At 51.8% G+C, this 25,669-nt stretch overlaps 1 long non-coding RNA gene across 3 annotated transcripts, besides 9 other annotated features; it reads right to left on the reverse strand.

The window, feature by feature from the left end:
• Nucleotides 139-19,907, reverse strand: LINC02765 (long intergenic non-protein coding RNA 2765). 3 transcript variants are annotated; one of them, NR_187302.1, is made up of 4 exons: nt 19,324-19,907; nt 17,358-17,500; nt 14,529-14,628; nt 139-720 (listed from the first exon to the last, which is right to left on the reverse strand). It is a non-coding gene; the product is annotated as a long intergenic non-protein coding RNA 2765 (long non-coding RNA). The 3 variants fall into 3 exon arrangements; NR_187304.1 differs by lacking the exon at nt 139-720 and adding an exon at nt 9,590-13,864; NR_187303.1 differs by lacking the exon at nt 14,529-14,628.
• Nucleotides 8,008-8,508: an enhancer, noted in NCBI's record as "H3K4me1 hESC enhancer chr1:225643575-225644075 (GRCh37/hg19 assembly coordinates)". NCBI's record gives its function as "activates a minimal SCP1, AML or CMV promoter by ChIP-STARR-seq in naive H9 embryonic stem cells {active_cell/tissue: H9 hESC(naive)}" and the evidence as "EXISTENCE:reporter gene assay evidence [ECO:0000049][PMID:30033119]".
• Nucleotides 11,382-11,676: a silencer, noted in NCBI's record as "tiled region #13241; K562 Repressive DNase matched - State 10:DNaseD". NCBI's record gives its function as "represses a minimal TATA promoter and a strong SV40 promoter by Sharpr-MPRA in K562 cells {active_cell/tissue: K562}" and the evidence as "EXISTENCE:reporter gene assay evidence [ECO:0000049][PMID:27701403]".
• Nucleotides 12,628-13,309: an enhancer, noted in NCBI's record as "H3K4me1 hESC enhancer chr1:225648195-225648876 (GRCh37/hg19 assembly coordinates)". NCBI's record gives its function as "activates a minimal SCP1, AML or CMV promoter by ChIP-STARR-seq in naive H9 embryonic stem cells {active_cell/tissue: H9 hESC(naive)}" and the evidence as "EXISTENCE:reporter gene assay evidence [ECO:0000049][PMID:30033119]".
• Nucleotides 17,682-18,571: an enhancer, noted in NCBI's record as "H3K27ac-H3K4me1 hESC enhancer chr1:225653249-225654138 (GRCh37/hg19 assembly coordinates)". NCBI's record gives its function as "activates a minimal SCP1, AML or CMV promoter by ChIP-STARR-seq in primed H9 embryonic stem cells {active_cell/tissue: H9 hESC(primed)}" and the evidence as "EXISTENCE:reporter gene assay evidence [ECO:0000049][PMID:30033119]".
• Nucleotides 19,260-19,559: an enhancer, noted in NCBI's record as "active region_2624". NCBI's record gives its function as "activates an Ori minimal core promoter by ATAC-STARR-seq in GM12878 lymphoblastoid cells {active_cell/tissue: GM12878}" and the evidence as "EXISTENCE:reporter gene assay evidence [ECO:0000049][PMID:35858748]".
• Nucleotides 19,610-19,869: an enhancer, noted in NCBI's record as "active region_2625". NCBI's record gives its function as "activates an Ori minimal core promoter by ATAC-STARR-seq in GM12878 lymphoblastoid cells {active_cell/tissue: GM12878}" and the evidence as "EXISTENCE:reporter gene assay evidence [ECO:0000049][PMID:35858748]".
• Nucleotides 20,000-20,279: an enhancer, noted in NCBI's record as "active region_2626". NCBI's record gives its function as "activates an Ori minimal core promoter by ATAC-STARR-seq in GM12878 lymphoblastoid cells {active_cell/tissue: GM12878}" and the evidence as "EXISTENCE:reporter gene assay evidence [ECO:0000049][PMID:35858748]".
• Nucleotides 24,584-25,103: an enhancer, noted in NCBI's record as "H3K27ac-H3K4me1 hESC enhancer chr1:225660151-225660670 (GRCh37/hg19 assembly coordinates)". NCBI's record gives its function as "activates a minimal SCP1, AML or CMV promoter by ChIP-STARR-seq in primed H9 embryonic stem cells {active_cell/tissue: H9 hESC(primed)}" and the evidence as "EXISTENCE:reporter gene assay evidence [ECO:0000049][PMID:30033119]".
• Nucleotides 25,104-25,623: an enhancer, noted in NCBI's record as "H3K27ac-H3K4me1 hESC enhancer chr1:225660671-225661190 (GRCh37/hg19 assembly coordinates)". NCBI's record gives its function as "activates a minimal SCP1, AML or CMV promoter by ChIP-STARR-seq in primed H9 embryonic stem cells {active_cell/tissue: H9 hESC(primed)}" and the evidence as "EXISTENCE:reporter gene assay evidence [ECO:0000049][PMID:30033119]".

Raw genomic sequence — 25,669 nt, forward strand, 5'->3', positions numbered from 1 at the left:
TCCGAGAACTCAGAAAGCATTCACTGTCACTGGGCTGCGATCCCAGAACAGCCGCTATTCAAAACATCTTTATAAGGTCTGATTCTGCCTCTGCCTCACCCCAGCCCAGCAGAAGTCGACTTGGCTCTGGAAACATGATGGATTTTTATTCAGTGTTTTATTGGCCAAACACATATCTTCGGGATAAGATCTTCGGAAACTCACAGGGTTTGATGGAAATGCTCACAGCCTTCTTCCACACACATCTCTGTCATCGCTGGCTTCTGGACTTTTCGTTACTTTAGCCTGGGATAATATTCATCCTTCACTTCATCTGACCGAGACACAAGGAAAGTTTATACCTCAAACTATGCACGAAGCAGAGGAAGCTCAGTTTCAGGGATCTTTGTGAGGTTGTCCTGGATAAGGGTCCCGTGAGTCTCTCAGAAATTTGTCCTCCCAGAGTCAATTCAACCTGGGGACTTGTCATAGCTCTGTGGCCTCAAAAGCCTCTCATTCCCAGGCACTGTGACGGGAACACTGGGCTATTGTGTGACAGGGCTAGCTAGCGTGTGCACAGCTCTCGGCTGGGATCAGAGAGAAGTTTGCAGGCAGACCCAAGGTTTTAGAATCACAGAAATCTTCACATCTCTTCCCTTCCCAGGACCCTCCATCGTGGCTTCTGGCTGAGATTTTAGGAGAAGGATGCTCAGTCCAGTTGGTTTTCAGGTTGTGTCCACTCTGGTGAGAAAAGAGTCCGGCTTGGTGGGGGTGGGCAAAAGTTAACCCTCTCAGGGTCTGAACTTTGGGGTGGCCTCTGGGTTTCAGCGCCTCCCTCTCATTGAGTCCCAGGCTGCTGACCCCCCTGTCTGGATGTCCTCATGGTGCCTGGGGCATCCTGCCTTGGGTACCCACTATTTCTGCACCCCAAGGGCAAATTCTGTGTCTTACTTGGTGACCCAGGCGCCACCTTCAGAGTAGGAATTCTATAAAGACTCCCATAAAGCTGAATGAGGGAAGGACCCAGCAAAGGGTGGAAAGCTGAGATTGAGGAGCTGTGCTTGGGGAAAACCCCACATAACTGTGTTCTTTTCAGCCTCTCTATTTGCTTGGATCTCAGCTTAACACAATTTTGGGTTTCTTTTTTTTGTTTTGTTTTGTTTTTCTGAGACGGAGTCTTGCTCTGTCGCCCAGGCTGAAGGTCAGTGGCGCCATCTCAGCTCACTGCAACCTCCGCCTTCCAAGTTCAAGTGATTCTCCTGCCTCAGCCTCCCAAGTAGTTGGGACTACAGACGTGTGCCACCACAACTAGCTAATTTTTGTATTTTTAGGAGAGATGGGGTTTCGCCGTGTTGGTCAGGCTGGTCTCGAACTCCTGATCTCAAGTGATCCACCCACCTCGGCCTCCTAAAGTGCTGGGATTACAGGCATGAGCCATTGCACCCAGCCACAATTTGTTATTGAAAAAAAAAAAATTCCCACTCTTCACTACCTCAATTCAATCATAGGGCCACCTGTATCCTCTATGCCACCTCCTAGGCTGGGCATTCACCCGTCGAGCTTACAGGATGAGTCAGAACCCATCCTTGCTCTCCCGGAGCCTGAACTCTAGAGTGGGTTGGGAACAAGGAAAGGCAGGCGCCGACTGCCAACTATACGGGTGCATATCTCAGCGCGGTCACACCCTTCTTGCCCAGACCTGCCTCTGCTCTGTCCTCCTGGCCCCTGAGGAGCACCTGGGGCAGAGGAGGAGCCCCTAGGAACCTTCCATGATAGAGCACAGGAGTCTGCAAGCGGTTGATTTGGTCTCCTCTACCCGGCCCCTCCCTCTCTCTGGACCCTGCAATGTCGAGGTAGAGAGTGTTATTCCCATTTTACAGATGAGGACAATCAGATTCAAATAGGTCAGGTGACATGCCCACAGTCGCACAGTGGGAAGATGGCAGAGCCAGGTCTCTGCCGCCTGGAAGGGAAGCCTGTGCTCTGCTCATTGGAGAGCACTGCCTCCCTCGACCACTGCCAAGCTTTGATGGCAAAGGAGCAACAGAGGTCACGTGTCAGGGATTAGCAAGCAAGGGTGACAGGAGGAGGTGGCATTCCAGAAGGGCCTTGGAGTATGGGCAGGATTTTAGAAGACAGTAGAAAAGATGGGAAGGTTGACGTGGCAGGGGACACAGAGAGAGCCAAGTTGGGGAGGCAGGATGGTGCAGGCCATGCCCCGCAGCAGCTGATGATCCAGGTTACCCAGGGGCAGCCCCTATGCCTCACACCTCCAGACCCCCTCCAAGGCAGAACAAGCTCCTGACACATTTCTCATGATTCTCCAGAATTCCAGGGGGCGTCTTTTCCAGTTATCTAGGGCTATGACATTGTACCACACTGTGAGATAAATAAAATATGTATAAGCATCAGCCACTGTTTCTTCTTCTTTTTTTTTTTTTTTTTTTTTTTGAGACAGAGTCTCGCTCTGTTGCCCAGGCTGGAGTGCAATTGCGCGATCACAGCTCATTGCAACCTCCACCTCCCAGGTTCAAGCAGTCCTCCTGCCTCAGCCTCCCGAGTAGCTGGGACTACAGGCGAGCACCACCACACCCGGCTAATTTTTTTGTATTTTTAGTAAAGATGGGGTTTCACCATGTTGGCCAGGCTGGTCTTGAACTCCTGACTTCAAGTGATCTGCCGGCCTCGGCCTCCCAAAGGGTTGGGATTACAGGCGTGAGCCACCACACCCGGCTGCAACTGTTTCTTCTGATGAATGCAGCTGTGCCAGTTTCCAGGCAGCCTGTGCGAAGCTCTGCCAGCTCATCGTCCTGCTGTCGCAGCCCTGGGGCTTCCTGTCAAGGGGAAGGTCACAGTGGCCCGTGTAAACCCTCACTCTGCTTACACAGTTGTGAGCAGGGGCACTCTCTGAACTGCAATGTATATAACAATAAGTAAACTGCAAAGAGAAAAGGGAAAAAAGGAAATTGTTTTCCTGGCACATAACCAAAAAGTCTAGGGACAGATCTGGTGCTTCCGGCTCAACTTGACCAAGGGACTCATATGATATCACTGGAGCCACAGTCTCCTAGCCCTTGCCTCCACTTCTGCTGGAAGCTTGGTTTCATTGTCAGGCCGCAGCAGCTCGAGGACACAGCCAAACCATATCACCATCTTTTACCAAGGTGCACACAGCCCTTCAGAATCCTCCTCCCCTTCACTGGCCTCCTCCTCTGACCCTCTTCCTTCTGCTCACTCAGCTCTAGCCACAGTGGCCTCCGTGCTGTTGGATTCCACCTCAGGGCCTTTGCACATGCTGCCCTCATGACTGGAACACTTCCCCAACACTCCTGAGGCTCTCTCCCTCTCTTCTTCAGGTCTTGCCTTTGCAGTGAGGCCTTTCCTCACCACTCTGCTGAAAACTGCAACCCATTACCTGACCCAGTCCCTTTCCTTCCCTGCAGAGCACTTTCCACCACACACATATGTCACTCCTTGTACACCCATCAGTCTGTCTGGGCTAGAAGAATAGCTCCTGCGGGACAGGGGTTTGTGTCTGTTTTGTTCGCAGCTGCATTCCCAGTCCTAGAGCAATGCTTGTGGGGCCTAGCAGGTGCTCGCTAAGTGCTCATGGATTGGCTGAGAGCTGAGTTGACTCCATAGGCTATGCCACAGAGTGGCCCTGGGCAGCTTGCTGTCCTTCCTTCACACGGACAGAGGCAGTTGTGGTTTGGTAAGATACCCTCTGAACAGCTAATGTGGGTAAAGAAGCATCTCCCTGTGGGCAATGGTAGCCATCTGCAGGCCCCTGTGGTTCAGCTCCCTGCTATGGAGGGCTGAGTCATTGACGTGGTGGCCTTTTAGAGACACACCTTGCGAGACTCCTTTGTTAGGACAGAACAGTATCTCCTGGAATCTTTATTTAAATTAAAAAAATAAAAGTTTCTAAGAACCAGGCCTTCAGAAAACTTCAGACTGCCCTTCACTTTGTCCCCACTTGTCAGAGATGGTTTGGAAAGAAGACAAAAAAAGACACTGGGAAAGGAAACAGGGTCAGGCTACGGGGGCAGCGCGGGAGCCTGCCTGGATTCCTGCGTGTCAGCGCCATAGCGCCTTCTGAGAGTGGCACCCAGCTGGGTTAGGGACACTCGGTCCAGCCATTCTGGGGTCCAAGAGCAGCAGCGCCCCCTAAAGCAGCCTGGGAGTGGGTGCTTCCCAGTGCCAAGCGGGCTGCAAGTATCTGCCCGCTGCCCACGCCCGCGCCCACCCCGCTTCAGGGTGCTCTCCCCAAATCTTGGCACTATTTACCTGTGCTGGGCTCCGTTCGGCAGTAGTGCAGAGGCCCCTCTCCTGGGGAACTCGTGCACCACAAGAATTGGCGCTTGCAGGGGCCAGCAGCGGGGGCGGTGAAGCAGCAACAAAAAACCCCAGTCTCTGTCCTGGGGCCTCACCGTCTGGTGGGAAAGGCAGTGGTGTAGATATGGCTAAGGGCTGTGGTGGGTGAGGAGGGCACAGGACATGAAAATTATGGCGCCTTCTCCCGACCAGCTCGGGGGCCACGGGCAGACAGGTCACCCTCAGGACCCCAACTGCCCTTCCAGCCCCAGGACACATTCTGGGTGAGGCCTTGATTTCCTTAATTAATACATAGAACATGCTTCTTACACCCATGTTCATAGCAGAATTATTCACAATAGCCAAAAGGGGGAAGCCACCCATGTGTCCCTCAGTGGGTGAATGGATGAACAAAACGTTGTATTTACATACAATGGAATATCACTCAGCCATTAAAGGAAGACCATGCCCCCACCTGCCACAACATGCACAAACTTTGAGAGCATAATTAAGTAAAAGAAACCAGACACAAAAGACAAATACTGTAGAATTCCACTTAAACGAGGTTCCTAGACTGGTCAAAATCATCAAGACAGAAAGTAAAATGGGAGTTACCAGGGCTTGGGGGAAGGGAATGGGGCGTTACTATTTAACAGATACAGAGTTTCTGTTTGTGAAGATGAAAACGTTCTGGAGCTGGACGCGGTGGCTCACGCCTGTAATCCCAGCACTTTGGGAGGCCGAGGCGGGCAGATCATGAGGTCAGAAGATGGAGACCATCCTGGCTAACACAGTGAAACCCCATCTCTACTAAAAATACAAAAAAATAGCCGGGCATGGCGGCGGGCGCCTGTAGTCCCAGCTACTCGGGAGGCTGAGGCAGGAGAATCGCTTGAACCCAGGAGGTGGAGCTTGTAGTGAGTGGAGATCACGCCACTCACTCCAGCCTGGGTGACAGAATAAGACTCCATCTCAAAAAAAAAAAAAAGAAAGAGAAAAAGAAAACATTCTGGAGAGGGATGGTGGTGATGGTTACACAACAGTGTGAATGTACTTAATGCCGCTGAACTGTACACTTAAAAATTGTTAAAGTAATAAATTTTGTGTATATTTACCACAATAAAAATGAAAAAAACTCATTTCAGGTGCTTAGGAAAATATGTGTTTGGGTGCATCTTATCTGCAGAATAATCCACTGGGCTGGACACTTCTAGATATTCATTTGGAGGAAGGGGCATAGCATCATGATCAAGAGCATCAGTTTTGGAGACTGTATTAATCTGTTCTCATGCTGCTAACAAAGACATACCTGAGACTGGATAATTTATAAAGGAAAGAGGTTTAATTGACTCACAGTTCCACATGGCTGGGGAGGCCTCACAATCATGGCGGAAGGTGAATGAGGAGCAAAGTCACGTCTTACATGGTGGCAGGCAAGAGAGATCTTGTGTAGGGGAACTCCCATTTATAAAACCATCAGATCTCATGAGCCTTGTTCACTACCATGAGAACAGTATGGGGGAAATTGCCCCTATGATTCAATTATCTCCACCTGGCCCTGCCCTTGACAGGAGGGGATTATTACAATTCAAGGTGAGATTTGGGTGGGGACACAGCCAAACCATATCAGAGACATATTTCCTGGATTGAGAATCCCAGATTCTCATCTGGCAGCAGTGCAACTTTGGGCAAGTGAGTGCTTCTAGCTGCCACAGTGTCTTCATCCATAAAATGAGAATAATGATAGCACCTTCATGAATATGACTTGTTAGAGGTAAATAGGAATAATGCATTAAGCACTGGGCATGGCTTCTGACATGTAGCAAATCTCACAACAAATGTTAATGCTCACTAACTATTACATATTATGCACAAAAGAACACAGCACTCTACAGGAAGAGCAGTTACTAAAACCTGCACTCTTGAAAATGTGCCTCACAGTCTAACATTTGGATTAAACAGAACACCCATCAGAAGTTGGCAATGCTCCATCACACACAGTCGTGTTTATTTGTTATAACAGGTGCCAGGATCAGTAGCTAAATTTGGTAGCAGTTGATGCTGCATCATTAGTTGATTCAACATATATTTACTGAGAACCTGTGCTGGGTATGAGAACACAGATGCAACAAGACAGAGCACCCCTGCCCTCCGGGAATGTGTGTCCTCGTGGGAGAAAACAGAGATCAAACAAAAAGTGAACAACTCCTCACCTCTCTCCACTAGTGAGTAATAAGCAAACAAGGTTGCATCACAAAAATATCCACAAACGGGAGAGAATGTGACAAGAACACAGCTAAAACATAAAGATGGTCATTCCTGGAAGAGAATGTGGCTCAAGTCAGCTTAGCACAGATACCCTTAGCAGCCATCCTGAGGTTGGCTGGGCAGGGCACTCTCATAGCCACAAAAGCCTTCTCAGTGGAGGCTCACTCTGGTCATTCAGATCTGAGCTGAAATGTCATCTCCTAAGAGATCTTCCCTCGGCACCTGATCTGAAGTAGACCTCCTGGTACTCTCTGGACATTATCGTTGTTTTCTGCAATTAACATTGGTATCTGATGTTTGCTTGTTTATTACTGGCCTTTTCTCCACTAGAGTGAAAACTCTACAGAGAGAGGACTTAGCATCTCTTAGGAGCTCAGGATGCCTGAATCATGAGCTCCAGGAATCTGCATTTAATAAATGCCCGCAGAGATTCAGAAAGGCACTTGCGTTCAGGCTCCACTGCCTTCAAAGACCAGTCTGTCAACTGCCTGACATTTCTCCACTTGTGATTCACACACTGGTGACTCAGCCACCCATTCGACCAGGGTGATAGAGAAGTCAGAGAAACGCCAGAACTGTTGTTCAACACAGGCTGGCTGCTCCTGTCACCTCTCCCACGCCACCCACCCCTTATGTCTAGTCTCAGAAAACCAGAACCAGGGTGACAATTGCCCCCAGAGTCCACAGTGAATCAGAAGAGCTCTTTAAACAAAAGAATCACTCAGAACGATTGTTAATTTTGAGTGTTGTTCTAAAACACAAGAAAGGGGAGACGTGTGTTTCCCCATTAAAGCTAATCAATCCATTTGTAGATGGATGATGACAGGGAAAGGGAGGAGGAGTTAAAGTATGTTAAAAGGGTCAGGAGCAGTGGCTCACACCTGTAATCCCAGCAATTTGGGAGGCTGAGATGGGAGAATGGCTTAAGCCCAGGAGTTCAAGACCAGCCTAGGTAACATAGTGAGACCTCATATGTACGAAAAAATAGAAAAATAAAAATTAGTACATCTATAGTCCTAGCTACTCAGAAGGCTGAGGTGGGAGGATCACTTGAGCCTGGAAGGTTGAGGCTGCAGTGAGCCATGGTCACACCAGTGCACTCCAGCCTAGGTGACAGAGCAAGACTCTATCCAAAAAAAAAAAAAATAAATAAAGCATCTTAAAAGGAATTGCCCATTCATGTAGATGTTCAAGGGACGCAGGATAGCCAGAACAATCCTGAAAAAGAACGAAGTTGGAGGACTCACACTTTCTGATTTCAAACCTTACTGCAAAGCTGCAGTAATCAAGACTGTGTGATCCTAGCATTAGAATAGAGATATAGGCCGGGCGTGGTGGCTCACGCCTGTAATCCCAGCACTTTGGGAGGCCGAGGCGGGTGGATCACGAGGTCAGCAGATCGCGACCATCGTGGCTAACACGATGAAACCCGGTCTCTACTAAAAATACAAAAAATTAGCCAGGCGAAGTAGCGGGTGCCTGTAGTCCCAGCTACTCCGGAGGCTGAGGCAGGAGAATGGCGTGAACCCCGGGGGGCGGAGCCTGCAGTGAGCCGAGATCGCGCCACTGCACTCCAACCTGGGCAACAGCAAGACTCCGTCTCAAAAAAAAAAAAAAAAGAATAGAGATATATAGATAAATGGAATGGAATTGAGAGTTCAGAAGCACATTCTCACATTTACAGCCAATTAATTCTTGACAAGGATGCCAAGACAATTTTCAATAAATGGGGCTGGGACAACTTAGACATCCACGCATAAAAGAATGAAGTTAGAACACTGCCTCACCTCATACACAAAAATTAACTTAAAATGGATCAAAGACTTAAATATAAGAAGTAAAATTATACACTTCTGTGATGGTTAATATTGAGTGTCAACTTGATTGGATTAAAGGATGCAAAGTATTGATCCTGGGTGTGTCTGTGAGGGTGCTGCCAAAGGAGATTAACATTTGAGTCAGTGGGCTGGGAAAGGCAGACCCACCCTCAATCTGAGTGCGCACCATCTAGTCAGCTGCCAGTGTGGCTAGGATACAAAGCGGGCAGAAAAACGTGAAAAGACTAGACAGGCCTAGCCTCCCAGCCTACATCTTTCTCCCATGCTGGATGCTTCCTGCCCTCGAACATTGGACTCCAAGTTCTTCAGTTTTGGGACTTGGACCAGCTCTCCTTGCTCCTCAGCTTGCAGATGGCCTATTGTGGGACCTTATGATCATGTGAGTTAATGCTTAATAAGCTCCTATAGATATAGATATATATATATATATCTCCTATTAGTTCTGTCCCTGTAGAGAACTCCGACTAATACAACTTCTTTGCAGAAAATATAGTCATGCTTTTTTTACTGATACATAATAATTGTACATATTTATGGGGTACATGTGATATTTTGACACATGCCTACAATGTGTAATGATCAAATCAGAGTAACTGGAATATCCATCACCTCAAAGGTTCATCGATTCTTTGTGTTGGGAACTTTTCACATATCCCTGTCTATTTTGAAATGTATAATAAATTATTAACTATAGTCACCCTGCTGTGCTATCGAACACTAGAACGTATTCCTTCTGTCTAACTGTATGTTTGTACCCAGCAGCTCAACCTCTCTTCATCCCACCCGTTTCTCAGCCTCTGGTAACTATCATTCTACTCTCTACCTGCACGAGACATGAGATCAACTTCTTTAGCTCCCACATATGACTGAGAGGACATTTGTAGTTCTGTGTCTGGTTTATTTCACTAACACAATGATCTCTAGGTCCCTCCATGTTGCTGCAAATAACAGAATTTTATTCTTTTTATGGCTAATACTCCATTGTGTATATATATACCACAGTTTTTAATTCATTCATCTGTTGATGGACTTTCAGCTTGATTCCGTATCTTGGCTATTGTGAATAGACAAGGGTGGTGCAGGTATTCCTTTAATATATTGATTTCCTTTTCTTTGAATAAATACCCAGTGGTGGGATTGCTGGATTGTACGGTAATTCTATTTTTAGTTGTTAAGAAACTCCCATACTGTTTTCCACAATGGCTAAACTAATTTATTTCCCCACCAATAGCATCTAAGAGTTCTCTTTTCTCAACATTATAGACGTAAATTTTGACATCAAGGTAGGCAATGGTTTTTAAAACATGACACCAAAAGTACAAGCAACCAAAGGAAAAACATGGATAAATTGGGCTTCGTTCAAATTAAAAACTTTGGTGTTTTAAAAGACACTATTAAGCCAGTGAAAAAACAACCCACAGAATGGAGAAAAGTTTTGTAAATCATACGCCTAAGAGACTTGTCTCTAGCATATATGAAGAACTCTCACAAACCAATAATAAAAATATAAATATTCTGGCTGGGCGTGGTGGCTCACGCCTGTAATCCCAGCACTTTGGGAGGCAGAGGCGGGCGGATCACGAGGTCAGGAGATCGAGACCATCCTGGCTAACACAGTGAAACCCCGTCTCTACTAAAAATACAAAAAATTAGCCAGGCGTGGTGGCGGGCGCCTGTAGTCCCAGCTATTCGGGAGGCTGAGGCAGGAGAACGGCGTGAACCCAGGAGGCGGAGCTTGCAGTGAGCCTAGGTTGCGCCACTGTACTCCAGCCTGGGCAACAAAGCGAGACTCCGTCTCAAAAATAATAATAATAAAAATAAATAAATATTCTAATTTAAAACGGGCAAGGGATCTGAATAGACGTTTCTTAAGGAAGATACACAAATGGTCAATGAGTACATGAAAAGCTGCTGAACACCGTTAGCCATCAGGCAAATGCAAATCAAAACCATGAGATACCACTTCACAGGCATTAGGATGGCCACAGTAAAAAAGACAGATAGTAATGAGTGTGGGTGAGGACGTGGAGAAAGTGCAACCCTCACACTTTACAGGGAAGATTGTGAAATAGCACAGCCACTTTGGAAAACAGCTTGCCAGTTCCTCCAAAAGTGACATAGAGTTACCATATGACTAATATGACTGCTAGGTATATAGAGCAACAAAAACATATGTCCACACAGAAACCTGTATAGGAATTTCATAGCAGCATTTTGTATGGACTGTGTAATAGTCAAGAAATGAAAACAACCCATGTATTATTCAGTTGAGCAGCTGGTGAATGGATACACAAAATGTGGCCTAGTATATCCACACAATGGAATGTTATCTGACCGTAAGAAGGAATGCTACTTGTTACAAGGATGAGCCTTGAAATATGCTAAGTAAAAGAAGCTAGCCACAAAAGACCGCATAGTATAGGGTTCCCTTAATATGAAACGTCCAGAATAGGCAAATCTATAGAGGCAGACAGTAGATTAGTGGCTGCCTAGGGGTGGGAGAGGGTCAGGAGGCAGGAATGAGGAGTGAGTGGTAATGCACACAGGGTTTCTTTTTGGAGTGATGAAAATTTGCTACAAAATCAGTTGTAAGGCTGGGCATGGTGGCTCACACCTGTAATCCCAGCACTTTGGGAGGTCGAGGTGGGCGGATCACAAGGTCAAGAGATTGAGACCATCCTGACCAACATGGTGAAACCCCATCTCTACTAAAAATACAAAAATTAGCTGGGCATGGTGGTGGGTGCCTGTAGTCCCAGCTACTCCGGAGGCTGAGGCAGGAGAATGGCATGAACCTGGGAGGCGGAGCGTGCAGTGAGCCGAGATCGCGCCACTGCACCCCAGGCTGGGCAACAGAGCAAGACTCTGTCTCAAAAAAAAAAAAAAAAAAGAAAAATAATCGGTTGTGGAGGTGGTCACATAACCCAATGAATGTGCTAAAAGCCATTGAATTCTACATTTTAAATGATCGACTTGTATGATATGTGAATTATATCTCAAAAAGGTTTTTGTTGTTGTTGTTAAAAAGGAATTATTCACCAAGATGGGAGTAGGGAGACCATGCAGGAAGAAAGACCAATAAGGAGGTGACTGCAGCTGCTGAGGGTGGGAATGGGGAAGGTCGGAGCCACCACTGTGGCAGTGAATGGGACCTGGATCTGGAGATGAGGTGGAGCCCACAAGACTGAGTCACTGGCTGAGTGAGTGAGTGTGTGTGTGTGTGTGTGTGTGTGTGTGTGTGTGTTGGGGGAAGGGGATTAATAACAGCTCATTTTTACTGAGCGCTATCTGTATGGCCACTTCTAATGGAATATCTCATTGTTTCCTCACTAGAAGTCTATAAGAGGAGCGCTGATGCTATCTGGGAAACTAAGGCACAGAGAGGCTCAGGAACTTGCTAGGATCACACAGGAGGTGGTAGAGCCAGGATTTGAGTCTGGTGGTTGACTCCAAAGCCTGCATTCCTCTGACCCCAGGGCTTCTGGGCTGGGTGTTTAGGAGGTGACATTACTCTCCGAGTAGAGGATACTGAAGGAGGGACAGGGATGTGGGGGAAAGGGGACCAGTTCAGTTTGGGACACAATGGAGTTGAGATGCCTCTGGATGTCCAGTCACAATTCCTACAATGAGTTATATGAATCAGGAACTTTACAGAGAGGAAGCCTAGAAACAACAGATTTCCGAGGCCTGGGCACATGTCTGTTCTCCTCGGGAGTGGACAAGCTCAGGTACAAGGGTCTGTTTGGGAGAGAAGAGGCTCAAGGATGAGGACCTAAGGTCCTTGCTACTGAAGAAGGGAGCCCGAGGACAGGACCCAGCCACGGAGGCGGAGAGCAGTCCCGGGGTAAAGGCAAGGCGGGTGGGAGCCCCGGAGCTGAGCATGGCCAAGCGAAAGGTGCAGGACCTCAGCGATCCGTAGGGTGAGGACTGACAGGATCCACTCTGTTTAGCCACAGAGCTGAACAGGCACAGTCAGATTATCCCAGGGGGAGGAACGAATGAGGGTGAAGAAGAGGTGACAGGGAGGCCGATCTGGATTTTCCCACGGAAGGAAATCCTTTTTCAGGCCCCTGGTGGCAAAAGGAGGAGCAGAGGGAGCATCTCCAAGAGTCCTCGGCAGCTGCCTCTGGTACCGCCCACCCCACCCCGGGCCTCTGTTGGTGTCTGTGGTCTGGGGGCTCCCGGGGCCATCCTCCCTGCAGCCTAGGGTGCAGACAGCCACCACCTGCCACCCAGATCAGCAGTCATGTAAGGGCTTCTGTTGAACTGGTTTAGGAGCATAACTATAGTTGGCTGAGGTCTGGGGATTTTTTTTAAGCTACAGAGTATTTTATGGGGTTTTGCCAAAGGTTGCATTCTGCTCAGAAACCTAGCCTGTCCCAACTATTCTTTCTTGCCATGCTTCAGGAAAATCTAATCTACCGTAAAAGCAGCAACCACAGCTATGAGAGCTAAGCCAGGTGCCACCTCGGGTTAAGGTCCCTCAGCTGCCTTAACCCCTGCAAGCTCCTCTCCTTTGCAGCCACCTCCTGACACCTCATATGACACTGCCCACCCCACAGGGCCTTTGCCCATCATTTCCTCTAGATAAACAATTACTGAATGAATGAATCATCCACCAGCCAGCTCCCCCTGCCAAGAGCAAGGAAGCATCAAGGCCCCTCCCCTCTGTCACCCACACCTCTCACTGTTACCCCAACAAGGGTGCCACCCAAGGTTTCTAGTTCGAGAAAAAAACTTCCCAGACTCGCATTGCTAATCACACCTACTGAGTATAAGTAAAAGCAAGTGTGGCTCTCCCCGACCAGCGGGGGATGGTGGGGAAGGGGTCTTTCCTGCACAGCTGGCAGATAGGCACCCCTGGCTGCTGTCTTGCCTGGGCTGTGGAGGTAATTTCATTTCTCCTGCAGCCTCTTCTCTCCGTGTCCAGCTGTCCTTGCCTGTTTGATGCAGGACAGCACAGGGAGCTTGCTGCTCCTGCCTGGAGCTAGCTGGAAGGATGAGGTGGCTTTGGAAGGATTTGGAGGACCTACTCCCCACTTCATCCTCATCCACGGTTCCTCTCCATCCAGGTTTGCTGATGTTTACCAGAGTCTGGAGGGCAGGCAAGGGGCAGAGCGGCAGCTGGCCAAGGCCCAGAGGGGTTGCAAGGTCACATAGAGGACCTTGGGCTTCACTGCACAGCTTCAAACATATTAAAACCCTGAAGGTCCGAAGATATATGAAACAATCCCCTAAAAATGAAACTGCCCAGGGGAGCCCTCTTTGTAGCTCACCTGCCCCTGCCGCCTTTCTCGTATTTCTTGAGGCTGTGTGCTCTGCTCTCTGGGACCAGATGGCCCGTTGGAGACTTCTGGCAAACGCCCCAGCTCCTCTGCCCAGACGATGCCGCAACCTCCACTCCCTGCCTGCCCACGGCCAGGCCAGGTTGCAGTGTCTCGAGCCTGCTGGGCTCTCAGACCAGGCTAGAAGAGTCCACCGGGTAAATTGTTTTGTCCCAAAGCCAGAGATGTCAGGAGGAGTCTGTGCCCCCTCTGCCCCGCCCCATCGCCTGAAGGAGCAGCACAGCTTCGTTTTATAAAACCAGGATACAGAACGGCCTGGCCCCAAGCCACCCTGGACCCAGCAGACCAGTCCTGCCCCTGTCCCCTCAGCCCCTTTGTCAGGACTGGTGAGGGCCAGGGAGGGGGCTGGCAACTCTTCAGGAGCAGCCAGGGAGCACAGCTGCTGGGATGTGGGGGTCTAGTCACCTAAAGCATGACAGAATATCTGGTGACTTGGGGACCTACCTACTTGTCGGGAGCAGCAGCTCAAGGGCAAGAGAAGGTGTTGAGGGAAGGAGGGTCAAGGTGGCTGGGGCTGGAAAGTCTGGATGACTGGCCATGGGGCCACATCACTCATCTCCCAGGACCTCCTTCAACATCCAGACAACAGGAGCACTGCCCCTACCCTGCCACCCCATGGCCTGCCTCAGGGGGCCTGGAGCCCGGGGCCACCTCCCTCTTTTGACCCTGCCTGCGCAGCTTGCCTTCCCCGCTCTCTCCAACCCACAGCCGCTGCTGTCCCAGGGCCCATGGTGGTGGGAACAGCCTCTCCCATATCCCCCTCACGCAATAAAAGCCCATTTACCTGCAGACCAGCTCAATCCAGCTCCAGATTCCCAGGGAAGAAACTGAACAGCCCACCCTGGCTGGGCTCATGCTCATCTGGGTGGAGGGTCTCATTGAACCTGGAGCAGTGACACAGACCAGTGAGGGAGGGTCTCACTGGGCAACGGTGGAGGACTGCTCTGGCTAAGGGGTTTGCTGTGGACTAGAAAGATGCTCCCAAAATGTGTTCACCTCAGATGCTGCGACCATCCCTATAAGCTTTATAAAATGAACCCGGGAAGTAGGGAGGGGGGAAGGAAAATAAACCCAGCTGGCAGCACATCCAGCGTTTGGCACGAGGCCAGCCCGCTCCCAGACCCGCTTCCTCAGAGGTGTTTGCCTATTGCCCTAAAATCACGTAGACCCCGTGACAAGATTAAGGTTCCCCGTCACTGTTCTATAGATAACAACTTGAACACTATAAAATGGTAAGTTTTCCATTTGAGATATTCTTTTAGGTCCTTGCACACCAGTGACACTACTGATGTCAGCTGGTCTCAAGGACCCCACGGGAACAGACTCACAAAGAATGGAGTTTCCACCTCCTGGTGGCTTCATTCCCCTCACTCCAACCAATCAAAGACCCCAGTCTCCCAACCCCTCACCCTCCATGATCCCCTTAAAAATCCCAGCCCAGAACTCCTCAGGGAGATGAATTTCAGGGCTTCCTCCCATCTCCTGGCTTGGTGCCCTGCTATTATTTCCCTGCTGTCTCGATGTAATTGGCCTGTTACTGCACAGCGGGCGTGCAAACCTGTCAGTCCTAGAGCAATGCCATCTTACAGAGGGGGATTTCAGGAGGAAGCACAGGCGTGGGGAGAAAAGCAGTGAGTCTGAACAGCCCCTGCCGCGTGGAGTGTCTGGTGGGATCATGCTCTGCAGAGGCCCAGCTGGAGGCGTGGATCTGGGAGCCATCAGTAACCAGGTGGGGAGTGAGGTCATGGGGGTGCAGGTCACCCCGAGGAAGAGAGATGAAGGGGCTGAAGAAGAGGCAGAAAGAAGCATCAGCAGCTGAGAACACAGTGGAAGGGGGTGGAGCAGGAGCAGTCAGGGAGGCGGGAGGAAAACAGGCAAAACAGCCTCCCAAGGAAGAGGAGGGAGGGGAGGGGAGAGGTGCACAGGGCCTGGTGCTGCTCAGAGGCCAAGCAGGATAAAGCCTGTGAGGGGACAGGGCTGAAGGAGCAGTTCTTGGCAAGGCCCCTGAGAGGGGTGGGCTGAATCTGTAGAAGCAAGTGGGAGATTTTCAGGTGGAGAATCAGGCAGCCAGGTCTGCAGGATGAGAACACATCCTGTGCAAAGACCCCAAGGAAGCAGAAGGCCTCTGGGCAACTTCCAGGGACAAGGAGTTGGCACAGGGTGTGGCGGTGGGGAGTGGTAGTGGGTGTGGCAGGTGAGACACTGAAGAGGTAAAAAAGAACCACACCCAAAATGCTCACTGCACTGCTGAGCTGAGCACACCTTATTCTGTAGACTGGAACTGCAGCCCCAGGGCCAAATCTGACCTGACACCTGTTTTTGTGAATAAAGTTTTATTGGAACACAGCCCTGCCTGTTCATTTGCATACTGCCTGTGGCTCTTTTCACCCCATGATGACCTTATGGCCTGAAAACATTTATAAGTGGCCCTTTAAAGAGAAGGTTTGCCCACCCCTGCTGCAGACAACGTTTCACCACTGAGCCACTCTGAGAGGTGAACGAGAAGATCAGACCTCACTGGCTGCAGTGGAGGCAGTGCTGGAGGGCAGGAGGCTGGAGGCAGGGGGCCAGGGACCCGGCATTGCTGTCATCCTGACGACAGCTGATGCCAACCTGAATTCAGCCAGTCAGGATTGAGGGCACTTCACGTTCCAGGGAGAGCAAATAAAATCCTTTGGTTAGGCCAGGTGTGGTGGCTCATGCCTGTAATCCCAGCACTTTGGGAGGCCGAGGCGGGCAGATTACCTGAGGTCAGAAGTTCGAGACCAGCCTGGCCAACATGGTGAAACCCTGTCTCTACTAAAAATACAAAAATTAGCCAGGCATGGTGGCAGACACCTGTAATTCCAGCTACTCAGGAGGCTGAGGCAGGAGAATAGCTTGAACCTGGGGGGCGGAGGTTATAGTAAGCCAAGATCACGCCATTCCACTTCAGCCTAGGCAACAAGAGCAAGACTCTGTCTCAATAAATAAATAAACTTTGGTTAGCGCTGGCTACCTGAAGTACTGGGTTGAGAAAAACCCCGAGCATGCAGCTTGGCTCAGCAACAGTTCACTGCATCATTAACGTCACATGGAAAAGGGACCGGGAGCGGGTAGCACAAGACCACGAAATTTTTCCCCAATTTAAAATATCTATTTCCGTTTTGTTGAAAACTAAAGCTTGGCCACTGGGATTTCTCCTCTGCTGAAAGATACTTTAAAAATTCATCTTGGGATTTGCTCACGTCTGAAATCTCTAGAATCCCCTGGAGACTCTTAATGGCAGGACCTGGGAGGCTTGTCTGGGCTTATACACAGACAAAGCCTCTGCCTGCAAGTCAGTCCTGCATTCCAAAGAAGGAAATGAGGGGCGCTGGGGTCTGACCTCACACAAGGGCTGCAGGGTTCAGCTGCAGAGGGAGGCTGGGCTTCTGAGGCCACTTGCACTGCAGACTCCAGGAGCCAGGGCTGGGCTTTGACTGGCAGAGTCCGAGCAGAGGAAGCTTGCCGGACACCAGGAGAGCTGCCACCCGGACAGAGCTGGCCAGAGGCCTGTGCATGGGCCACAAGGAAAGAAGGCACAGCCTAACGTAACCTGGCAAGCACCTGTGTAGCCTCTGTAAGTGCTTACCCAGAGAAGCAGGAGCACGGCGATCTGGGTGTTTGGTGACACTTCCATCTGAGAGCAGGGCCCAGGTGGAAGAGGCAGCTGGATGCAGGTTAGTGGGGCCGGTTCCACGGACATTTGGGGCTGGGTGGGACAGGAAGTGGGATCTGAAAAAACAGTGTGACCATGTGCAGTTAGCCAGGGCTAGGGAAGGAAATACAAAGCCTTTTACAAAGTTTTTTTCTGGGTAAGCAAAATGGGCACAGCAGGGTGCTCCTGTCCCATTGACAGCCTGGTGACGCAGGCAGGGCTACGGGCTGGGGCCTGAGGCTATGAACCACGTAGGACTCCAGCATCAGATGTCTTTTCCTGATCCACAGTGCCATGAGACGTCTTTGGTTGAGCACCTGCCAGATGGCTATGAAATGAGCTGTCTGTGCACAAGAAACGAGGTGAGAGGAATGCGCCTTCCCCCAACCTGGAAGGACAGACAGGACTTTGTGCTCCTCCACCAGGCTCCCAGAGTAGGAAGGAAGGATGGGCTTGGGAGCTGATTCTCTGTGCTTCAGGGGCTGCCCAGGCAAGAAGGAACCAACTCCCACAGCCAGACCAGAGAGGAATCACTTGAGTTGCCCGAGGCCCAGCAGGAAGGGGGCCTTGGGCTTGGGGTCCTCCGATAGGAAACGCCTGCCTCCTGCGCAGGCAGCCAGACTGCCCACAGCCCGTGGCGTGGGCCCTGGAAGAGCCACAGAGCTCCCCCATCTCAAGAGCCCTGAAGGGGTCCCTGGGCACAGTCTGGCCACCCAGGAGGACCCCATGGGGACATCTCTGAGCCCCTGGACGGGGGGGACACTGTTCAGGGAACAGAGGAGCCGCAGTGAGTGCCCAGGATTAAGCCAAGGCCGACGCAGTGCTCCTGTTCCCCCAAAAGCCTCGGGACTCCCACATGAGCCCATGCGTTACCGGAAAGGGGTCCGGATCCACACCCTAAGAGAGGATTCTAGGATCTCGCGCAAGAAAGAATTCAGGGTGAGTCCGCAGAGTAAAGTGAAAGCAAGTTTATTAAGGAAGTGAAGGGGCCGGGCGCGGTGGCTCACGCCTGGAATCCCAGCACCTTGGGAGGCTGAAGCGGGTGGATCACCTGAGGTCAGGAGTTCGAGACCAGCTTGCCCAACATGGTGAAACCCCATCTCTACCAAAAATACAAAAAATTAGCCAGGCATGGTGATGGGCACCTGTAATCCCAGCTACTCAGGAGGCTGAGGCAGGAGAATCGCTTAAACCCAGGAGGAGGAGGTTGCAGTGAGCCGAGATCGCACCACTGCACTCCAGCCTGGGCAACAAGAGCGAAACTCTATCAAAAAAAAAAAAAAAAAAGAAAGAAAGAAAAAAGAAAGGAAGGAAGAAAAGAATGGCTACCCCACAGACAGGGCAGCCCTGAGGGCTGCTGGTTGCCCACTTTTATGGTTATTTCTTGATGATATGCTAAACCAGGGGTGGATTATTCGTGCCTCCCCTTTTTAGACCATATAGGGTAACTTCCTGACATTGCTATGGCATTTGTAAACTGTCACGGTGCTGGTGGGAGTGTAGCAGTGAGGATGACCAGCGGTCACTCTCATGGCCATCTTGGTTTTGGTGGGTTTTGGCCAGTTTCTTTACTGCAACCTGTTTTATCAGCAAGGTCTTTATGACCTGTATCTTGTGCCGACCTCCTATCTCATCCTGTGACTTCCTTAACCATCTAGGAATGCAGCCCAGTAGGTCTCAGCCTCATTTTCCCCAGCCCCTATACAAGATGGAGTTGCTCTGGTTCACACGCCTCTGACACATGCAGTGAGGACCCCTCCCCGCCCAGGAACCCAGTGGATGATTCCTCTCAGGAGGTGCGGCTGGGAATTAATTTAATTTAATCTAGAGAAATGATGTTTGTTTCATGTTCAAATGTTCTGGAGAGGTTACACCAGTGACAGAGGCCCTCTGAACTTACACACACAAAAGGCAACTCATTAGCAGGAAGATGAGAAAGCAGAAAGCGTCTCAAGACAGGAAGCTCGGCTTGGTGTCACCCAAATGTGTCTCCCCTTGACAAATCATCTCCCATGATCTGCCGGTCCCCGGGGAGGACAGGCAAGAGGCGGTGATGGGCTGTCAATGTGCATCTCGGCGTGTGGCAGTTGACAGGGCACCTTCATAGGTTTCTTCTCTGCAACTTCACTGCCACCCCCTCAGAAACTGAGACCCATCGGCGGCCGGCCTGAGGCACCCACAGCTGCAGAGAGCCGGGCACATCCAGGGCCTTGGGTGTGTCTCTCCTCCACTGTGGTGGAGGCTCCCCTCCACTGTGCCAAGCCCAGGGGGGCTGGCAGTCCCCGTGGGTGTGGCCCAGAAAGACTGGCAGTGTCTGTCCCAGACCTCAGGGCCACAGTCACCAGATAAGCACCCACTGCACTCAAGGCCTCTCTGATCAAGTCCCACGACCAGGCTCTCCAAGTCCTGACACCGCGGAGACCCCCAAAAGAGGAGGATGGAGCAGAGGGCAAGGCTCTCAGCTCCGCGGACTCACACCCAGCTGCAGAGGCAGGGGGAGCCGCCCTTTCTGTGGCCGGGGAAATTGAGGTCACTTCCTGTCTCGCTTCCCTCTCTCTGTGCTGGCTGCATCCTTCAGAAGGGGGGTGGGTGGCTGCAGGGCAGCGCCAGGCAAGGCTGCGGAGAAGCCGGTGCTCCCTGTGTCTAGGATGAAGAACAGAGCAGGGGGCTCCTCGGCGGTGTCGCTTCACCTCTCTTCCTGCTCCTTGATTCTCTCCACCCCCACCACCAGCCCAGGTGGAGGCTCTCGGTGATGAAGGTGCTGGCAGTGAGGGGCCTGCAGAGTCCGCATCTCTCTGCAGCTCAAGGGGCTCTCGGAGGCCACTGGGAGCTGGAGAGGGAGGAGGTCAGAGGCCTACAATTGGTTTTCCTGCTTGGAGAAAGAACAGATAGGAGCTTTCTAGGGCTGCGGCTCCATAAATAGCTCTAACTGTCCCTTCTCTCTCTTTTATGTTCTTTCAAACATGAAGAAAGAAACAAGCTCTAGCAAGGAACTCAAGTTAGACCGGCAAGTATTTGCCAAAGGTTAAGGGGCCAGAAAGCCAGAAGGTGGACACAACCTTAGGGACCCTGGGCCATGAGCCGTGAGACCTCTAGGATCAGCAGGGCCCAACAGGGCCATGCAGGAAGCCCTAGCTTCAAAGCCACAGGCACTGGGGAGTGGGTGGGGGCTCCCCAAAAACCACACGCTGCTCCCCAAACTCCTTTTAGAAGTGCCCCGGAAGACCTGGACCTGGCTGTGCACAAAAGCACCATGCTCTCCTCTGACCAGATCCCTTGGATGAGGTCCTTAAAGACCCCCTGGAGCTCAGTTTCCTCATCAGTAACTGGAGAGGTTTGCACCAGGTGGTCCTTGAGGGGCTCCCCCCAGCTCTGAGCCCACGATGGTGCATTTCATACCCTGGACTGTGTCTGAAAACTTGAGAAGGAGTAGGGAATAGGATAGATGCGAACTGAGCTTCTTGATGGGGTCCCGTACCTACCCCATATTTACTGCACTAGAAGCAGGGCCTGGAATCCACACTTCAACAAGCTCACACTAAAATGGGAGACCGTGCCACGCTGGCCTTTCTGGGGCTCCTCAGCCACGTTTTTGCACCTGCTGTTCTCTCTGTCTCCATTATTTCCCCTAGATCTGCACTGCTGTGTCCCTGATTTCACTCAGATCACTGCCCAATGTCCTCTTCAGAGAGGTCTTTCCTAACTGCCTCCTCTAACAGGTAAACAAGTAATTTTTTAATGTAGGTATGTCCCATGCAATGTTTGGAAAATACCGATACTAAAACATTATTTGTAATTGATCTGAAATTGAAATGTAACTGGACATCTGGTATTATTATTTGCTAAATCCAGCAACCCTAAGCAACAAGGACTCTGCAACCCAGCCCCCAGACTATAGGCCATTTGTGAGCTTGAGTCTCCAGGGGCGGCAGACAGGGCTGCAGCTGCTACGCCTGCCCAGCCCTTCCCCTCTGCTCCCCTCCCAGAAAGATGCATAAATGCCCGGGGTGGCCTAGGCAATTAAGGCGAATTGTCTTCTGGGCAGTCCTGCATACCTGCAGAGGACTGTAACTACAGAGGTGTGCACAGGAGTTTCTGGGCCAAGAACAAGACCTCAGGGCTTTCTCCTCCCATTCTCCCCTCCCCACCTCCTACCCCACATGTTTAAGGTGCCTTGAGTCCCCAGATGATCACACACTCTAGCCAGCTATACATATCGGTACACACTACAATCAGGCAACTGCTGCATGTGAGAGCCCCTGCCATAGGTAACAGGCACCATGGTCCAGACATATAAATAGAAGGTGAAGCTCCTGCCAGTAAGCATGGCAACCTGGAATTGGGGTGTGTTATAGGTTAAATGGTGTGTCCCCTCAAACTTCATATGCTGAAGTCCTAACCCCCAGGACCTCAAAATATAACCCTATTGGGAGATAGGGTCTTTACAAAGGTAAATCAAGAGGGCATGAGGTCATTAGAGTGGGCCCTAATCCAATATGACTGGTGTTCTTTACAGAAAGTAACCTGGGGCCAGGCATGGTGGCTCACGCCTGTAATCCCGGCACTTTGGGAGGCCAAGGCAGGTGGATCACCTGAGGTCAGGAGTTCAAGACCAGTCTGACCAATATGGCGAAACCCCGTCTCCACTAAATACAAAAAATTCACCTGGCGTGGTGGTGTGCACCTGTAATCCCAGCTACTCGGGAGGCTGAGGCAGGAGAATCGCTTGAACCCGGGAGGTGGAGGTTGCAGTGAGCTGAGATTGTGCCACTGCACTCCAGCCTGGGCAACAGAGCGAGACTCCATCCCAAATAAAAAAGAGAAAAAAGAAAGAAACTTGGACACAAACGCATGCCATTGGAAGACCGTGGGAAGACACGGGCAGAAGGTGGCCATCTCCATGCCAGACAGGGACCTCAGAAGGAGGCCATCCTGCCAACGCCTTGGTCTTGGACTCCAGCATCCAGAACTTCGAGATGATAAGTGGGGGTTGTTGAAGCTGCCCAGTCTGGGGAACTTTGTGACAGCTGCCCCAGAAATCTGATCCACTGCACCTGGCCTCAGAGTTCAGGCTGGCTCCACTCTCTCTCTCCCGACACCTCCCATCAGGTGGGGACCTGCAGCCCATTCCCAGGTGGGGGTCTGCACAAGGACAAGTTTGGGATGAAGCCTCAGGTCACCTGGCTTCCTGGATCTATAAACTGTCATCTAAGTGACAGGCTTGGCTCAGGAAAGCCGCTCGGTGCCAACCAGCTTGAGAGCCTAGCTCCCGGGGGCAGGCCACCGCACAGAGAACACACACGCTTTCCTAACAGCCTTGCTGGGGAAATTTGGCCACTGGCTGCAAAACCTCACTGGAAGTAAAAAATAGGAGTGTCAGATCCTGTAGCTGAATGAAAGAAATTTGGACCAGCCAGGGTTAAGGAAGACAGACTTTCTGCTCTCCAGAGTCTGCCTGTGCTCTCAGGACAGGCCTCGGTGTGGCAGCACGTGAACCAGTGGCAGGCTGTTTTTCTTTCTTTCCATGTTCCCAGCCCCTGGCACATGGTAGGTGCTCAGAAAGTGCTAAGGACTTCCTAAATGCAAACCTACACAGCCTAGCCCGTGCAGCAGGGAACGGAGATCACCGGGCACTCGGGAGCCATCCACTCGGTGGTGGGCGATTTGAGCCGCTGTCTTCAGGACCGAGACCAGGCATCAGGGACCCCAGATTGTGGAGCAGACAACAACGCCGGCTGACCTCGGACGACGTCTCGTCCCGTATTCTATGTCTCATGTCCTCTGTGAAATGGAAGAGCCTCCATCCCTAAGGGGACAGAGTTTCGGGCTTGGTGAATGGAGCCTGGTGCGAAGCAGGAAGGAAGCCCCTTGGCTCCCACCTGCCAGCTACTCCGGGGCACTCCCCCGACCTTCTGGCCATCTCCATTGCTCAGAGCCCCACTGTGGGAGGTCTGAGCTCTCAGAGGCTGCAGTGAAGAGTGACAAGGATGACGCCCCCACCAACCCCATCAGGGTTCCTGGGGGTGCGGATGACATGTGGGCCACCTGGGCTTGTCTTTAGCGTTTTGGGGAGATGAATAGTTTGAGTGACTGTCTGCTTGCACCTGCCTCAGGACAGAGTAGTGAGAGGTAGGAGGAAGGCGTAGAGGGGAAGGGAGCTTCAGAGGTAACCCCCGACTGAACCGAGAGTGCACAGGTGGTCATCCTGCACCCAGTCCTCCTGTCAACACCAGTAAGTGGGCGGTCCCCTCCCTGGGCAGGGCAAGACCCCTGGGCCTGAGGGAGGTGGGAACGAGTGCAGGTGGCGGGGGTAAACATCTCTGCAGGAGGCAGAGCCTGTGAGCCAGTGCCTCCGGCCAGCCCCTACTGCCGGGTGTAACGGGTGTGAAGGGAGACATGTGGACCGGCACCTTGTTCCGGTCACTTCCACTCTGAGCTTTTCCCGCCCATCACACCAAACTGCTGGTGGTGCCCCCGCCCTGCACTGCCGCCGCCTGAGGCCCTATCCAAGCCATCTCTGATAGAGCTGAGCCTCGAGGGGCAGGACTCCCCTAAAAACATCCCCTGTCTTCAGCAGGGGTCCAGGGACCTAGACAGGTGGGGGACCACCCGTTGTTACGGAGTGACTGGGAGGGCCACCCGAGGAGAGCCAAGCAGGGGACCACCCCTCCCGGCATGGGCAGACCTAGCAGGGCAGCCCCGGGACTTGGGGCGTGAGATCCGACTTCCTGAGGCTCCACTCCTGGCGGGGGGCAGGCCAGGCCACCGTGGCTCTCCAAGGAAGGCGCACTGCCTAGCTGCGTGGAGCGTGGTTGGCCTCCAGCCGTTGGCTTCCTCAGGGTCAGCATCCTCTCTGCCTCTCCAGGAGTCTGAGCTAGGTGAGGATACAAGGGCCTGACTATTCCACCCCTCAAGGGCTCCTCTGATGGGCAGCACTGGCTCTGCATGCCCACTGGGCTGCCAGAGATGAGTGTGGCAGATCCACATCGCAGCTTACCCACCCCTCCTGCACTCTCTTGCAGCCTCTCTTTTCTTCATGGGTGTTGCTCCCTCATAAATAAATAAATATATATATATACACACACACACACACACATAGTTGCTGTTGTTGTTGTTGTTGTTGTTTTTGAGGCAGGGTCTTGCTCTGTCGCCCAGGCTGGAGTTCAGTGGCACAATCACAGCTCACTGCAGCCTCTGCCTCCTGGGCTCAGGTGATCCTCCTCCCGAGTAACTGGTGAGAGGTGACAGCGTGCTGGCAGTCCTCAGAGCCCTCGCTTGCTCGTGGCACCTCCTCTGCCTGGGCTCCCACTTTGGCGGCATTTGAGGAGCCCTTCAGCCCACCTCTGCACTGTGGGAGCCCCTTTCTGGGCTGGCCAAGTCTGGAGCCCACTCCCTCAGTTTGCAGGGAGGTGTGGAGGGAGAGGCGCAAGCGGGAACCGGGGCTGCGTGCGGCGCTTGCGGGCCAGCTGGAGTTCCGGGTGGGCGTGGGCTTGGCGAGCCCCGCACTCGGAGCAGCCGGCCAGCCCTGCCGGCCCCGGGCAATGAAGGACTTAGCACCCGAGCCAGTGGCTGCGGAGGGTGTACTGGGTCCCCCAGCAGTGCCAGCCCACCAGCGCTGCGCTCGATTTCTCGCCAGGCCTTAGCTGCCTTCCCGCGGGGCAGGGCTTGGGACCTGCAGCCCGCCATGCCTGAGCCTCCCACCCCCTCCATGGGCTCCTATGCGGCCCGAGCCTCCCCGAGGAGCACCACCCCCTGCTCCACGGCACCCAGTCCCATCGACCACCCAAGGGCTGAGGAGTGCGAGCGCACGGCGAGGGACTGGCAGGCAGCTCCACCTGCAGCCCCGGTGCGGGATCCACTAGGTGAAGCCAGCTGGGCTCCTGAGTCTGGTGGGGATGTGGAGAGTCTTTATGTCTAGCTCAGGGATTGTAAATACACCAATCATCACCCTGTGTTTAGCTCAGGGGGCACCAATCAACACTCTGTATCTAGCTGCTCTGGTGGGGCCTTGGAGAACCTTTGTGTGGATACTCTGTATCTAACTAAGGGGACGTGGAGAACCTTTGTATCTAGCTCAGGGATTATAAATGCACCAGTCAGCACCCTGTCAAAACAGGCCACTAGGCTCTACCAATCAGCAGGATGTAGGTGGGGCCAGATAAGAGAATAAAAGCAGGCTGCCAGAACCAGCAGTAGCAACCCGCTCGGGTCTCCTTCCACACTGTGGAAGCTTTGTTCTTTGGCTC

The sequence above is a fragment of the Homo sapiens genome, chromosome 1 (genome assembly GCF_000001405.40).
Source record: "Homo sapiens chromosome 1, GRCh38.p14 Primary Assembly".
NCBI lineage: Eukaryota > Metazoa > Chordata > Mammalia > Primates > Hominidae > Homo > Homo sapiens.